This window comes from Homo sapiens, chromosome 10 (assembly GCF_000001405.40).
Source record: "Homo sapiens chromosome 10, GRCh38.p14 Primary Assembly".
In the NCBI taxonomy this organism is placed as follows: domain Eukaryota; kingdom Metazoa; phylum Chordata; class Mammalia; order Primates; family Hominidae; genus Homo; species Homo sapiens.
The window spans coordinates 116,056,593-116,071,371 of NC_000010.11; the positions used below are offsets into that span (position 1 = coordinate 116,056,593).

Sequence of the window (14,779 nt, forward strand, 5' to 3'; positions counted from 1 at the left end):
ATTTTGCCTAGGCTCGGAGGACCCTTGGCAATGTCTAGAGATAGCTTTGACCACAAAGTGTAGATGGGGGGCTACCAAAGGATGCTACTAAACATCAACAATGTATAAGATCTGACAAGCCCATCCACCCAAAATATAATTATCTGGCCCCGAGTGTCAATAGTACCAAGGTTCGGAAGCCATGGTCTGAAAGTATTTGTGGCAGCCACACTTAGTCCTTATGATCTGCTGTCAAGAAAACCCAATGTTTTGACACTGGGGATTTCTACGTGTTTGCAGATTTCAGGAGGGTTTTCCGGTGAATGGGATAAAAGAAAAAGACACCACAATGATTTTTTTTAAAAAAGAAAACAATGTTTATTAGGATATTCTGGGGTGAGAGGATGGCCAAAGGGACTATGTACATTCTGTAGTGCTTGAGCAATAGGCTAACAGAAAATTCGAACATCACAAAACCACTTCCAAAGTCCATATTGCAAAACTTGTACTTCTACAGGAGATGTTCTTCCAAGGGTGTTGGCAATAAAGGCTGTTGCAAAACAGCTATGTGAGGCAGCCATGTGGGAGTGACCCCAGGAGAATGCTCCGGTGTCCTCTGGAAAGCAGATACACAGGACGATGGACAAATGTGTCATCTTCTACCAGTGGGAAGCTCAGTAAACACACAATATAACATGGAGACCCGCCCGAAGCCTAACTGGAGGCTTCTCAACAAAGCTCAGTCGACCCCTCACCCCTGTTCCGAGGAGACTGGGTGTCTGAACCCCTCACTCAGGAATGAATTCTAAAAATACCCTAAAAATCAGAAGCCGCCTTCTACTCTACCGTGCTATAAACCTGCATGAAACAGAACGAACATAAGCTGAAACACACCCTCGGGTTAAGAGTGAAAAATGCAACACCATCCAAAAGAGTACAAGAAAAAAACCCCACAGCCTAAATCTCACACAGCTTCTCAGCAGGAGTTGGATTAAACTGAGAAAATAATTTTAATATCAAGGGATAATGCACGCAAGATGGGAAAACTTTAAAGCAAACTCTGCAGTGAAAAGTGTTTCCCCCACTCCCTTGGGCGAGGGAAGGGAGAAGAAGATAGATAATGAGGAGAACTATAAGGCCCTGGATTCAGGTTTCTGAAACTGTTTTTTTTTTTTCAACCCTCGGAGGACAATCAGCTCTTCCTGAATCCAGAAAAGCACATCAGAAATGCCCAATGACAGACCACAGCCAAATATGGCAGGGCAAACTGATTTGGTTCTGCGATTTCCATTCTCCTCTCCACATCCGAGAAATGCCTTCAGCTACAGCTAAAAAATAATAATAATAAAAAAAAATTCCCGATCAAGCATGCTTGGCACACCAGGAAGCTAATGCTGGATCATATAGCCCTCCAATCATTGTGTGTGTGTGTGTGTGTGTGTGTGTGTGTGTGTGTGTGTGTGTGTGTGTGACAGAGAGAACCACGCTTTATTGGCGGAGCCTTATGTGCCAGCGAACTGAGAAGGTCCAGGGTACCTTCACCTGCACTGCCACAGTCACCCGGTCTCGCCCCAGGTAATCAACCTTTACTGATTTTCAACGGCCCTGGTTCCCTATACTCAGGACATCCACTGGATTTTCTAATTCTTCTTCCTACTTCACTCTAGTCTTAGGATCTGTGTTATGCTTGCAGGTGTCAGGGGTCAATGTGCACATTCGAAGTTTTGCTCCTTTGAGCACTGCTGACTGTTTGCTTTCCTCAGCTAAAGCAGCTCTGGCATCTCCTATTCCCACCTGCACCATGGCCGGTACCTGACAGCTGTGACTTCCCCGCCGCTGTGCCTACCTGGCCAAGCTCATGGCCCTCTGAGGCCCAGAGGAGTGGCTGCCCAAGTGCTCAGAGGTGGCCTTTTAGGCTCAGGATGAAGGTGGGTGTGTTTGCCTTCTCTATCATGGAAGAGCTGGATTTGCCATTGTTTGCACGTGGCCCAGGACTTACCCCTGGGAGACTGAGTCTCAGTTTCATGAATGATTTGTAAAGAGAATACAGCGTCTCCGAAGGACATGAAATGGAAGGATTCTGCCAATCTGGAAGGGATGGGTGTTTCCCTAAGCTGCTGTCAGAGGGCCCTGTGTTCTCAAGTTCAGCTCCAAATGCTGGTTTATTCCGTCAGAGTACTCACTCAGTAAACGTGCTGACTTGGTAAGCATTTGATGTTGCTTCTCAGGATACTGATGGAGAAGTTGTCACCCCTGGGGTTTGTCTGGGATCGGGGGAGTGGTCTACCTTTCTTGTCAGCATCCTGTGCTTGAGGCAGATTAAAATCTCAGCGGACTAACTGGCGAATTTCCCACAAAGTCTACCCCCGTTTTGGGCTCTGTCCTTCCTGGCGGATGTGAGCCTGTTGGGAGAGATGCTAGTTTCTCGCCTCTCAGCAGGAAATGCCACGGGCAGATTTAAAGTCACTTGGATCCCAGTGCTTTTTCAGACCCTTTCTCCTAGGTCACCCTCAAAAACCTCAGGAGGACACATTCAGGGTCAATACAGCTCAATGCCAGGAATACGATGCCAATAGGCCAGTTCTTGCTACCGTATGACAGAATAAAGCCCTTAAATGTCAAGGCTTTTCATTCAACCAGTTTCTGAGTACCTACTATGGGTCATGCTTTCTGCTGAAGAAGCCTGGGTGTGAGCAGCAAGAGATGTTCAAACTAAGTAAGAGTCTAAAGATCTCTGGCCAGTCTCCTGGCGCCCTACAGAAGAAAATTGGGGATTGGTAAGAAAGCCTAGCCTGAGAGGAAGAGAAGAAAATCAGAGAAAACCTTCTATTGATGCCGGTGCTGGGCTTGGCAGCTGCCCTGGAGCAAAAATTAACTCCCCATGGCAGTGGGACAAGATGCTGATATTGGCACCTGCCAGAGGCAGACAGCCGAAGTCGCAGCTGCGCTGGTCAAATGAGCTTGGAGACCTTAGGGGGCTGAGACCTCAACGACTATTAGCAGGCTGTGGTTCTCTGCAGGCAGTTTATTGGAATAGGGTTTGTGCGCCTTCTCCACCCCTCTGGGCTGGGTCTCAGAACAATCAGAAGTGCAGGTGGCACATTCTGCTGAAAACCACCCCTGCATTGTCTCTGGGAGGGAGGAGAAGCTCATCAGAGACACTGGGAGCAACAAAGGGATTCCTGGCAAGGATGAGACCATCCCCAATCCCAAAGCTAAGAAGAGGGAGCTCAGAGGAGAGTTAGCTGGAGGAACTTCGTATTTGGGGATTAGCATCATCTTCAGATCATCTGGCTCCTGAGAGAGGCTTCTCTGTCTTAAAATATATCTGTTGGAACAAAAATTAATTTGGGTCAAACTAAATTTAGAGCTATTACGATGAAGAATTGGGGAGGGCAATACTTAGGCAATAAAGAACAAGGTGGTGGAGGGAGGCCTGAATAATAACGATGAAAGAGAGCTGAATCAGCCAATATCCTGATATAAATGAAATGTCCTACCGAATACATCCCAGGACGGAGGGAGTGGAAAAAAACACAGATTTAAAGCCTCTGCAGTGAGAATCTTTTTCAGAGGTCCAGCCCCCACAAAGAATTCTAGACAACAGACTTAAAACAAATGGTCACTTGAGAAGCAGAGCCGTGTCAAAGCCAAGAGGTGTCAGATATACACTTGAGATATCTATCTTAGGGATGAGAGAAAAATGTAGCTTCTAAGGGTATCCAACCAAATCCCCACTTGTTTTATTTTAGAATTTCTAATAAGAAATTCCTTCCTCTGTCGTTCGGATATTATCAATAGCTCTGGCTTCCTGTCTCTAAAGAACTTCTGCCTGATTCAAGGAACTCTGGCTGTTTCGTTAGAAGGTCCCTGTTCTGATCAGTAAGGAACATCAGCGGACTCTCAGATCCATTCACCCTTGGAACATGGCCCACTGTTGCACCTTGATTTTGCCTTATCTCGCCAACTCTCCAAGCTCAGGTGGGCCTTCTGCTGTCACTGTGCCCAGGCCAGTGGTAATTCTCTCCTGCCTGTTGTCATTGCTTTTAGGTCGTTCTTGAAAAGATGGGTGTCACATAGTCTGATGTGCTTTATCAAAGAACAGAGGCAAGAGCAAGACAGATCATGGGGGTATGAATCCAGGAGGTCATCAACAGCCTCGAAAGAGAATTAGAACACGTGAATTCATTTAAGCAGCCCTTTTCTGGTCCACAGTTTATTGATTCAAGTACATCGTGCATGTCTAACTAACTGCATGAATGAAAACTTATTTTCCAAAAGACAGCTCCTCTGAGGCCACAATTTTGTAAATAATAACAACAGAAATACATTTCCGCTGAATTCTGAGAAAAGAATTCGCTAATTATATAAACTCCCACTGCTCTTACATCTCTTTTCCCAGGCACTTTACATGGACTCCAAAATGCTTTGGCTCTCCCACTCTCCTAGTATAGCAGATGGAGTGCTTGGGAGTGTCTGATTTAGAGACAAGAAGGCAAGAGGGAGACGGGCGGCAGCTAGAAGCGGCCCATCCTCAGAGTGTATGCAAGACAGGAAGTGTCTGAATATGGACCAAATCAAAGGCTGAGGCAGCTCTGGGGGAGCCCTGTCCGGTGTTTGAGGAACTCGAAGACACAACTTCTAAGACATTCTTACTACAGCACAAAAGTCTGTTAAAAAAAAAAAAAAAGAAATGGAAACCACACTCCTATCACATTCTAGATCGTTTGCTATACTTCATGAAAAATAACCTATGTTAATCTCAACTTATACTTTTTTTATTACAGACTTGAAAAAAATCAGGTATGGAAAAATAAATATGTAATTGGCATTCTCAATTCCTTCTCTATATTGTGTGCTTCTTCCTTCATGTGCTCTATTAAAAAGATACTCAAGCATGTATCGGTCAAAAATATTCAACATCAAAGTGGAATGAATGTGCTTCTAATCAGTGTGGCAATACTGCCTTTATTCCCCCTCTCTTTCTCTCTGAAATAAGTAGGGCATGGCTAGATGTAATCAGGGAGTCACGGTCTGCATGGACCCTAGTTACTGTTTGGTTTCATCAAAATCAACTGCAATGAGATACTTCCTGCAAGACACCCAAACCTCAGCAGATAACCCCTGTCTTCAGTGGCACCCCAAATGCCCGGACTGAAGGACAGGAAGTAGCGAATCATTTTTGCTTTTAAGCACGCCAAGAAGAAGTGAGACAGGTAAATGATTTAACTTATTGTGCTCCAGTTCTGGGGCAAATGATGGTGTTTTAGGGTCACCGTGTCAAACTAAGATCACACTGAATGGCGGAAACCTTGCTTGGCTTGCTTTGATAAGAATCTCTCTAACGTGTTGTCCCTGAACAAGATGCTTCCCCCTATTTATTTAATCAGCAACTGATTTTCAAATTGAGGAGCTGGTAACTTGAATATGCTTTTATCACTGAAGAAAAATGAGATATTTGTTGGTGACAGATGAGGCTTTTCAAAATGTAATTTATATATTGCCTACCCATGCATTCTTCAATGAAGGCTGCCCTTGTTAGCGCTGAAACTCCCATTTCCGCTTTGGTCATCTGATGCTAATTAGAGCTGCTGTTACTGCAGAAGTAATCAGTAGCTTTCTACAGTGGATCACATAGAATCAGATCCCTATGAAATTAGTCCAGTGTAGATACACAGAGATACCTTAATGAAAACAAAATACACTCTGTAAGAGATATGCGCTCATAGATAACTGGCATTCCAAATATTTTGACACACTTACTTAATGTGTTTATTCAAAGTAAGAGTCTTTATAGATCTTTTCACTAATTAAATACAGTTGGGTGTCTGCTGAATTTCCCTTGAAAACATTTTGAAGTGAAAAAAGTCAGTACTGAGTACTGTACATTTGTGTTGATTAACATTTGGACACAAATATACTTTTAACACCAATAGAGCTGAAAGACTATGCCTTTATCTTGGATTTCATAGATTTCCCCTTCCCCCCAGTGACTTATCTTACAAGGCAAACACCAGCAGGCAAAGGGGATCTGTAGAAATGTGCACCCTGGTTTCCTCCTCCATCTCTTCTACCAATGTGGGAAGAAAGCCAATGCTTCCCAGCACTTTCTGAAGGTGGAATCTCCTCCTCTTTACTTAATGTTGGAGAAAAGTGGCCACCAGTACTCGATCATTGTAGATTCGGAATCTCGCCATCTAAACCAGACTTCAAAAGTGCACTTTCGGGTCTACTTAGTTAAGAAAGAGAATAATGGAAGATGATAAGTGGTTAGCAAAGCCAGATGCCTTATCACCAGGGTCCTGTTCTGCTGATCTGTGCCAAGCAACTCATCTCACCAAACCTAATGTCAACCCTCTTGATCCACAAACCTTCCTTCTCTTCTAACATGGTCTGCAGTCTGTCACGGAGGACATGAAACAAGATGCAAGCAGATCCTTAATGACCTTCAGACCAAACTGCTCCAAACAGTGGCCAAGACGTTGCAGTCAGGAGTAAACACAATCCTTAGGAAAAGAACTGTGCATCCCAGCATGGATGTGTTTCCAAAGAAAGGAGAACCTGCCCATGCCTCCATGTCCCAATCAAAGCTGCCTTTGTCAGATAACCTGAAAACCAAGGTACTGGATTGTGTCATGACAAGTGTGTCAAGAGATGCTGCAGAACATTTACAAGCAGCCACCAGTTCCCTCCACAGGTATGCACGCTTGCACTTCGAGCAATGACAAAAGACAATGCTTGTCTGTTCTGTTTCCTCCTGCCTGTCCACAGTCACATGATGCAGAACTTTCTGCTACAGCACGAGGCTTCTCAGAGTCTGCTTTTGATGAGCTGTATTTGTGAAGTTCATATCAGAGCGAACACTACTTATGAGGGGAAAGAAGCTCTGTGTATTTTGTATTAAACCATCAGTAAAAAAATGAGACAATATCATTACTTTCAAAATATAGAAAGCCAATAGTTGAAATCATTTAGTAGTAAAATTTTTTTCTACATATAACCTCATATGTGTAAAGAGTATTAGAGCGACATTTCAGCTATATTGGACTTTTGTTAGGTAAAGGGCTTCTCACTCAGGTAAGGCTTAGGATTAGGAGAGTGTCGTTCAGGGATTGAGGTATTGAATCGGCACACTCATTCCCCACTCTCTATTTTGACGAAAAGACAGATACTATATTTGGATGTGACAGGTGTTTTTTCTTTTGTACAAGAGTGCAGAACTGTTTACAGTACATAAACATCAGCGTGGAAAATGCTAGTACATATATAAAGGTGAACATCAGTACCAGCTGTTTCCACAAAGCCCACTCTTGGTAAGAATCTTCTTTGTGGCAAAAAAGCTTGGCATCAATGTAGGCTGAAATTTATATCATTAGAAATCAATGTCATTAAAGGAGATATGGGAGTTACCTTAGAAATATTAACTCCTTCTCTAGCTAGGAAAGGCCAGAAGTAAAACTGTTAAAATCATCATCATGATCATGATGATCATCATCATGATCATGATGATCATCATCATGATCATCATCATCATCGAAAACACAGCCCCAGTTTGCTTTACAGCCCAAGTTACAAACTGTCCCTTTAAAATACAGCATATCCCAAAGCCTTCTGAGTTTGGATGGAGCACTGCATCAGGTTTTTCACAGAAGCCCCAAAGGATCACAAGAAGCTTTCTTAAAAGGAAAAAAAAAAAATGTTCCAGTTGAATGGAACTGTTTCTCAACTGAGCTCCTAAACTGGAATTTCAGCTATACAAGAGAACAGGAAACAGATAACTTGGTTTTTGTCTTTTTACATGTCCATATTGTATTTTTTTAATGCAGCTATGATGTTTCTGTTAAAGATAATAGGGTGGACAGAGCGGTTACCACCAGGACCAGCAGTGGGCTCAGACCACAGCTTGGAGGAGCAGCCATTGATTTTGTGGTTATGTGGCTGGAAGCACCGAGACCTTCTTTTTCATAATTACCCTGTAAGGAAGAATGGTTTCATTATCATCCACTGCATGTCTTCATTCTACCACAGTATACTTTACACTCTCTCTCCCCCCGACTCCCCACTGGCTGACCCACTCACCAAAGCTGACCAAGATTTTACCACTGAGACTTACATTCACTGACTTGTAGTTTTATGGGAAGAAACCATGAACCTGGGTTAGAACCAGATACTTTTGATAAAGCGTCTGGCCAATGCTTACTGCTTGCTCTTCCATTAGGAATTATTAAATTCATTTTGGGGGAAGATATCTGAGTTCAGGTACCCCTGTCATTCTTTGTCCCTCTCTCCAGGGTTCCACGTTGCACAGGTAACTGACAGCGTTGGAGACAGGCAGAGCAGCCTCTCCCTGCATGAGCCAGTTCAATCCCAGATTTTATAGATGAGGAGTTGGAGAGAGCAAGAGCTTGCCCTGCTTGTTGCTGGGAGAACTAAACCAGAACTCTGGCTTCTGGATTCCCAGCCAGCACAGCTGTCCTTCCCCAGGATAGAGTCCTCCATCCCTGTCACCAGCACCTGCTTAATCCCATAATGCCACCCTCCTACACAAGAAACCAGGGCCCACACACAGCAGAATTTTCGGTCTCCTCACCTGTAAACTGGAGAGAGGAATGTATCTGCTCTAATCTACCCATGGGGGCCTGTGGAGGTCAGAGGCACCACAGATGATAGAGAACATCTGGTAAGCAGTGAGATTTGCTATGTATCGTCTCTGTGCTGGATGATTTTACATGACTGTGATCACAGAGAGGCTCAGGGCCCTGGAACACTTGTATTAATCCTTGGACAAAGATTCCAGGTCCCATGCTTACTTCCAACTTTGTGAACTGGAATTCAAAGTCTTCACCTTGCTCAAAGGGCAGACGGTCATGGAGGGTGGCTTAGATTTCTTGTGGACTGGATACCTTCTTGTCTTTGAATGCTTTATATGATACCCTGCCCCCAGGGGCCCAAAGGCTATGTTTCTATAAATGCACGAAGCCTCCAAAAGAAACATACTTACATTGGAAATACAGAGGTGTGTATTGCCCGACACATTGGATTTCAGCTTCTGTGCCTGGAGAGGGACAAGAAAAAAAATGCTCAAACATAATACAGAAGAGTAATTACTGATGATCCATCAGTCAGCTGTCTAGGGCAATGCTCTCTGATAAATATGTGAGACACAGCTGTGAGCTCCATATATAATTGAACATTTTCTAGTAGCCATGTAATAAAGAGATATCAGGTGAAGTTAATTTTAATAATATATATTATTTAACCCAATATATTACCATTTCAAAACGTACTCAATATTAATAAGATACTTTACATTCTTTTTATCCATACTAAGTGTTCAAAATCTGGTGTGTTTGGCATGGAACATCTCAATTCAGACTTACCCCATTTCAAAGCCAAGTGGCTCCTGAAGGAGCAGCCCAGGACTAGGTTACTAAAGAAAACGTTTTGAAGTAATCCCTCATTTCTTAAAGTTAATTTTTGGGAAGTACCTCCTTCTAGGTAAAAACGTTGCAATAAACATCTGCATTTATTAGTGATACAGACAGAGACCTTCCTGGGCTTGTTTGTTTGTTCATTCATTGCTTCAGTCAACAAACCCTTACTGAGCACCTACTGTTTACCAATGCTGGGTATATAGTGATGAACAAAAAAGGACCTGGTCCCTGGGTTCTTGGGGCTCCTCTCTAGTGAGGAAACCACTCACTAGTCACTGTTTAGGATCACATAGAATCCGGGGCTAAGGCACAGGACAGGGACCCTTTCAGATGGGCATCCTCAAAGAATCACACAGAGCAGTACAGATACTCAATCCAGCCATTTGAAAATGGCTTCCCGAGCAGTTGCAAGGGGACTGAGCTGTGAAAGCATTGAACTCCCTGTTTCTCCTCAACTGGAACAACCCTCCACTGGGCTTCTACTGATAATTTCATTATAGGAAAGGTCCCATTGCTCAAATAATTACAGTGAAAATGCGTGTGAAAACTGACCTGGTACAACCCTCCCACTTTACAAAGGAAAACAGAGCCCAGAGAAGTTAAGTGACTAATTCAAGGTCACACAACAATTTACTTACAGAGTCAGGATGCAGACCCAGTCTCTTCAATTCCTAAATGAAAATGTGCTACCTCCTGCATCACAGTGGTTCTCCCCAAAATCCACACAAAGAACTCCCACAATGCTCCTTCCTCATCCCCAGCAACAGGAGCCGTTTGGCACTGACAGACAGAGAGCTTATTTGTCAACGGGCTGAGCCCTGGTTAAGCGTTACACTTGAATCAAGGAGGACCTGGGCAACCCAGCTCTGTGTGGATGGCACTGGCAGGCTGCCTGTTGTGACTTCTGCAACTCCTGGAAGACACGCTAAGCTAAAATGATAGCATGTTCACCCAAGGAGTAATTTATTGACCATAATGCTACTTGGGAGGCATCATAATCTTTACCTATATTTGCATATGCCAGCTGTGAATATGAAATAGAAACCTTTAAACAAGCATCAAGAATAAGACACTGTGAAGCATCCCTGGGCTGTTCAAAGGTCACTAAATGTTATGTATAAGAAGATCAGAGGGGAAATTGGAAGAGGAATTGAACCTGATTCAAAAGCCTACTTTTAATCTATATTAATAGCAAATCTGGTCCACTGCATTGTCACCTACAGAGAGTAATGTGTAGTGCTTTACATGTTTTATTTCTGTTCAAGTTTGGAATTGTGCCCAGATACCAAAATGGCCCTAAAACATCACATTCTGCCTTTTCTAGGCCATAATCTACAAAAGACATAAGCCCTTGCTAAGGGCCTTTGCATAACTAACAAATTTACTGAATTGCACAGGGAAGGCAGCGTGGTTTCTAGACTGGGATGCATTATGTCCTCAAGTTCTTCCTATGCTCGTGGTCACAGCCAAGTTGCGCCTGAGTGTCCTAGACCACAGTAGCTTCTAAGAGTTCCAAGGGCTGGGAAGGCCTCCTTTCTACTTTGTTCAGTATGATTAGCACTAGCAGACAGTGTTTTATTCATTGTATACTCAATCTGTGACACTCATTAGCTATACTGCAGGAGTATAATCCTACCATTATTAAATGATTAGAAAGGAGCTTTCATCAATGGACTAGAAAAGGCCTCTATCTTAACAGGTTTTCTTAAGTGGACTCGGCCTGCATAGGTAGATTTCTGACCCTCATTAGTCACGGAGGGTTTCACACTACATTCAGAATTTATAAGCTTTCAACCAGGGAGACACACACAGGTGTAAACTCCAAGGATCTTGTCTTCTACCTGGAAATGGCAGGCATAACTTCAATTTCACAGGAAAATGCATTTCGATCAGCTCCAAGTCTGTGCAGTCGCCAAGTTCTTGTTCCCCCAAAGCGGGTATCCCATTGGCCTCTGTATAAAGGAAAAGCTCAGTTTCTGGCCTTGTCTCCGTGTAGTCCCATTGGCTAAAGCTGGAAGCAGCACCTCTCAAGCTCATCTTGCCTGGGGGACCACTCCGATTGGCATAACTGGAAGAACTGCTGAGTCCAAGTAAGAATACGCAGCCAGATCCCTACAGGGGATGCTCTGAGAAAATGCCTTCTCTCCCGTTAAACATCTTCCCAACCCACAGAGGCACTCAGCACTCCAGAGGCTTAGCAGTCCACACACAGGACTCTAAAGACACTGCTTACATTGTGTGTTAACAAGCTTCCTACAGAGCGGTCTGGGTGCTCGGGAAAGCCCTACAGCAGCAGAGGTTGAGCAGAGAGGCTCTGGAGGAGTTCCACCTAAACCTGGCACGGGCCACTGTCAGCTCTGTGAGTCTGATTAGCAGAATCAAAGGATTGCATATAGGTTTGAGATCTCTTTAAATCTCACACCAAATGAGATGAGGGCCAGAGTGTGTCGGCTGTCTAGACTGGATGGGGTCAACAACAGACATCATCAGGCTGGGAGTCCAGGACCTCTCACAGTGGGCATGCTGCAGAGAGAGGGTCAGAGCCTGGGATGTAGACCTGTGAACTTCTGGCTAGTTGCATGCTTATGAGTCCTGTAGGCAGTGTGAACTTCCTGTGACTACTGAGGGTCAGAAATCTACCTCTGCAGATCCAGAGTCTACTTAAGAAAATCTGCGTCTTAAAACCCACTTTGGAACCTGAGAAACCTGTTATTTCCACATTTTAAAGGCTTTTATCCCAAGCATTTCTGAAAACATCATCAAGCTATCACTGTCTTGCTAGTCAGGTATGATAAATGCAAACAGATAAAATTGCAGGGCGTCTCCCGCTTTCAGCTATCACAAAAAGTACTTACACACTTTAAATGCTGTCTCAGTTGCTGCAAATTGGGACGTCCCAGGAAAATTAGAAGGAAAAAATAAACCCCAAACTCCTGAGACTTTGTAAGGTATAAGGTAAATTAGAAACTAGAAAAGCACCTTTTATTCCTGAGTTACCAACTGGTAAAACCAAGGGTGCAATAATAGAAGGGCTGGCACAGTGTTCAGGGGCCCTTCAGTGAGCCTCACAGCCCTGATGATTATGAGAAATGCAGAGAGCCGAAAAAGAGCTCAGCCAGCCGGTACCTATGCAGACACCATGCCTTACAGTTTGTGGTTTTAACATGATATGTCTTTTAACAAGAGATGAAGAAGAGAAGATGCGTTTTATTTTTTGAAAAATCAATTCGAACTATTCTTACAGTATGTTGAAAAATGAATTATTTAATCCTTTTTAAGAAAGGGTGTTTCTTAACTCTAATTTATAGCTATAAGGTTTAGGGGAAGCTGCCTGACTCTAAGTTGGGGGAAACACCACCACTGAAATATAGTACCTTGAGGTTTTCATCTTGAGAACGGGAAGATGAAAATTATACTAGAGAGGCCTGTCCCCAAACCAAACGCCTTCCCTACATTCTGGAAAACCAGGGAAACCTGTTTTTTAGGCACGTAAAGCTTTGTCTCTCCAGCAGCTGTTGCTCTCATATTATAAAAGTGTCACTGGTGGTAATCCCCAAGTCCAGGCACGTCGCATAAATGAATTTTCAGGGCACTGTAATTGTGGGGGGACAGACCTTGCCAGTCCCTGGCACCAGAGGGTTAATAAATGCATTAGAGGCTGTTAACCTCTGTTACCTGGAGTCAGAGCAGTGCCTCTCCTGCTTTTTACCCCAGTGATTAGCATTTGGAAAGCCTGCCGTGGTGCCAGCAGCTTTCCTGTGCAGAACGCAGAGATGCACACATCATTTATAGCTCTCAGCCCAGTCCCTACGTGGGTTCTGCCCACAGCAGGCTCTCCCCAAGCTCTGGGGACAGGTCAGGCTTGCGAGCAGCATGCTCACTCTGATTATGGAATTGGAGACTTAAAAGTGCACTCGCCCGGAGCCTGGCCTTGCTGCCCCAGGACTCCATTTCTGTAGAGAAGCCAGTATTTAAGCTCCAGATTTTAGGCAGCCGTCAGCCAGCAGGGATGGAACATTTCTCTCTCCTCCTCCACGCATAAGAAAAGCCAGTTTCTGCTCTACCTCCAGAAAATAAAACCAGGGGAAGTTGCCCAATCCAATAGCAACAGACTGTCCAGTCTGCAGCCAAATAGTCATAATTAATGATGCTCTGGTTCTTTTCTTCCTTGCTTTACTGATTAGAGAGATTTGCTATATTAGGAACCTGTTTGCTTAATGACAGAATACAAGCAATAAACAGAGAAATACACAGACTGTAAAATGCAATCAACTTTGCTCTCCAGCACTCACTAAGTACCTAGCTGCATCTATCACACTTGTCAATACCCGTTTATTAGCATACAAGTCTCTTCTGCAGCACAAACTGGACCTTTGCTAGGGAAAACCACTGTATGAGTTCGTCCCAAAACAGTCCAGAAGCAGAAGTCCAGAACTCAAAGCCATTTCTCAGTTTAAATCTACATATTTTATGTTCCGTTGTAAGACAAGCCATGGGAAGAAGAGTATGTACCTAATTGAGGTTAACTGAGCAGAGGAACCTGCTTCCAAGTAAGCATCATTCACACTGTATTTTAATAGATAGACTCACCTGCTTAAAGACTTCAATAGGTAATACTATATAACAATTCTATTGTGTACGTGATACCAATTTGCCCAAATTAATTTCTGTATATAAAAAGAAGACAGAAAAAAGAAGCTCCTTGTTAGTGAATCCAAGCTAAGTAACGGTGGCCCACCTAGAAGTCTGGAGCCTTTTTTTTTTTTTTTTTTTTTTGGCTTTGGATTTTGCCTATTGACATCTGGGATTGCTGGGAGAAGTTTTATCGCTGGTCTGGTCCCAAGCAGTTGGCCAGCCTTTCGAAAACATCTGCCACTCTCTATTTTGAAACTCACCTTCCTGGAGGTTTGCTTTTCCTACAAACTTGGTAACAATCACTTGCAACCACTGGTCTGAATAATGTCCAGTAAAGTCAGCTGCGTAAAACAAGTGGACACATAAATAAAACCTGCTCTGAGCCTGTGGGCTGGGGTGTTTTTCTTCCAGAGCCTGAGCTCAGCAATGAAGGGATCCATTTCCTCCAAGCTTAATTTTGCCAAGCCCCACGGACCCTGGCCCAGGCCAGGAAGAAAACCAGGGGCTGTGAGGCCAGCCAGGGTGAGGCTGGGCAAGCGTGCTTCTGAGAAGGGGCTGGAGTAGCCCTGGGTGACTCTTCTACCACTGAGCCTGGGACTGTCTGGTCTCCTCTACCTGCTCCCCCTGAAGATGCTTTGTCTCTGTGTTGCCTGAACCTCAGCCAGAGGCTTTCATTACATTAAACTCTTAGAAGGCCTTGTAAAGGTATTTCACTCAGCACAGGTTTCAGA

At 43.9% G+C, this 14,779-nt stretch overlaps 1 protein-coding gene across 12 annotated transcripts in view; it reads right to left on the reverse strand.

Annotated features, from left to right (window-relative positions):
- Window positions 333–14,779, reverse strand: part of GFRA1 (GDNF family receptor alpha 1) — a 217,781-nt gene continuing 203,334 nt past the window's right edge. For 10 of the 12 annotated variants that reach the window (NM_001382557.2, NM_001382556.2, NM_001145453.4 and 7 more), the window contains 2 exons: window positions 8,981–9,034; window positions 333–7,952 (listed from right to left, as the gene is read on the reverse strand). In NM_001382557.2, coding sequence (NP_001369486.1) covers window positions 7,806–7,952; window positions 8,981–9,034 — 201 coding nt within the window. In that variant the 3' untranslated portion in view covers window positions 333–7,805. The remainder of the gene's footprint in view (window positions 7,953–8,980; window positions 9,035–14,779) is intronic. The other 2 variants (NM_001382560.2, NM_001382561.2) reach the window with 2 other exon arrangements.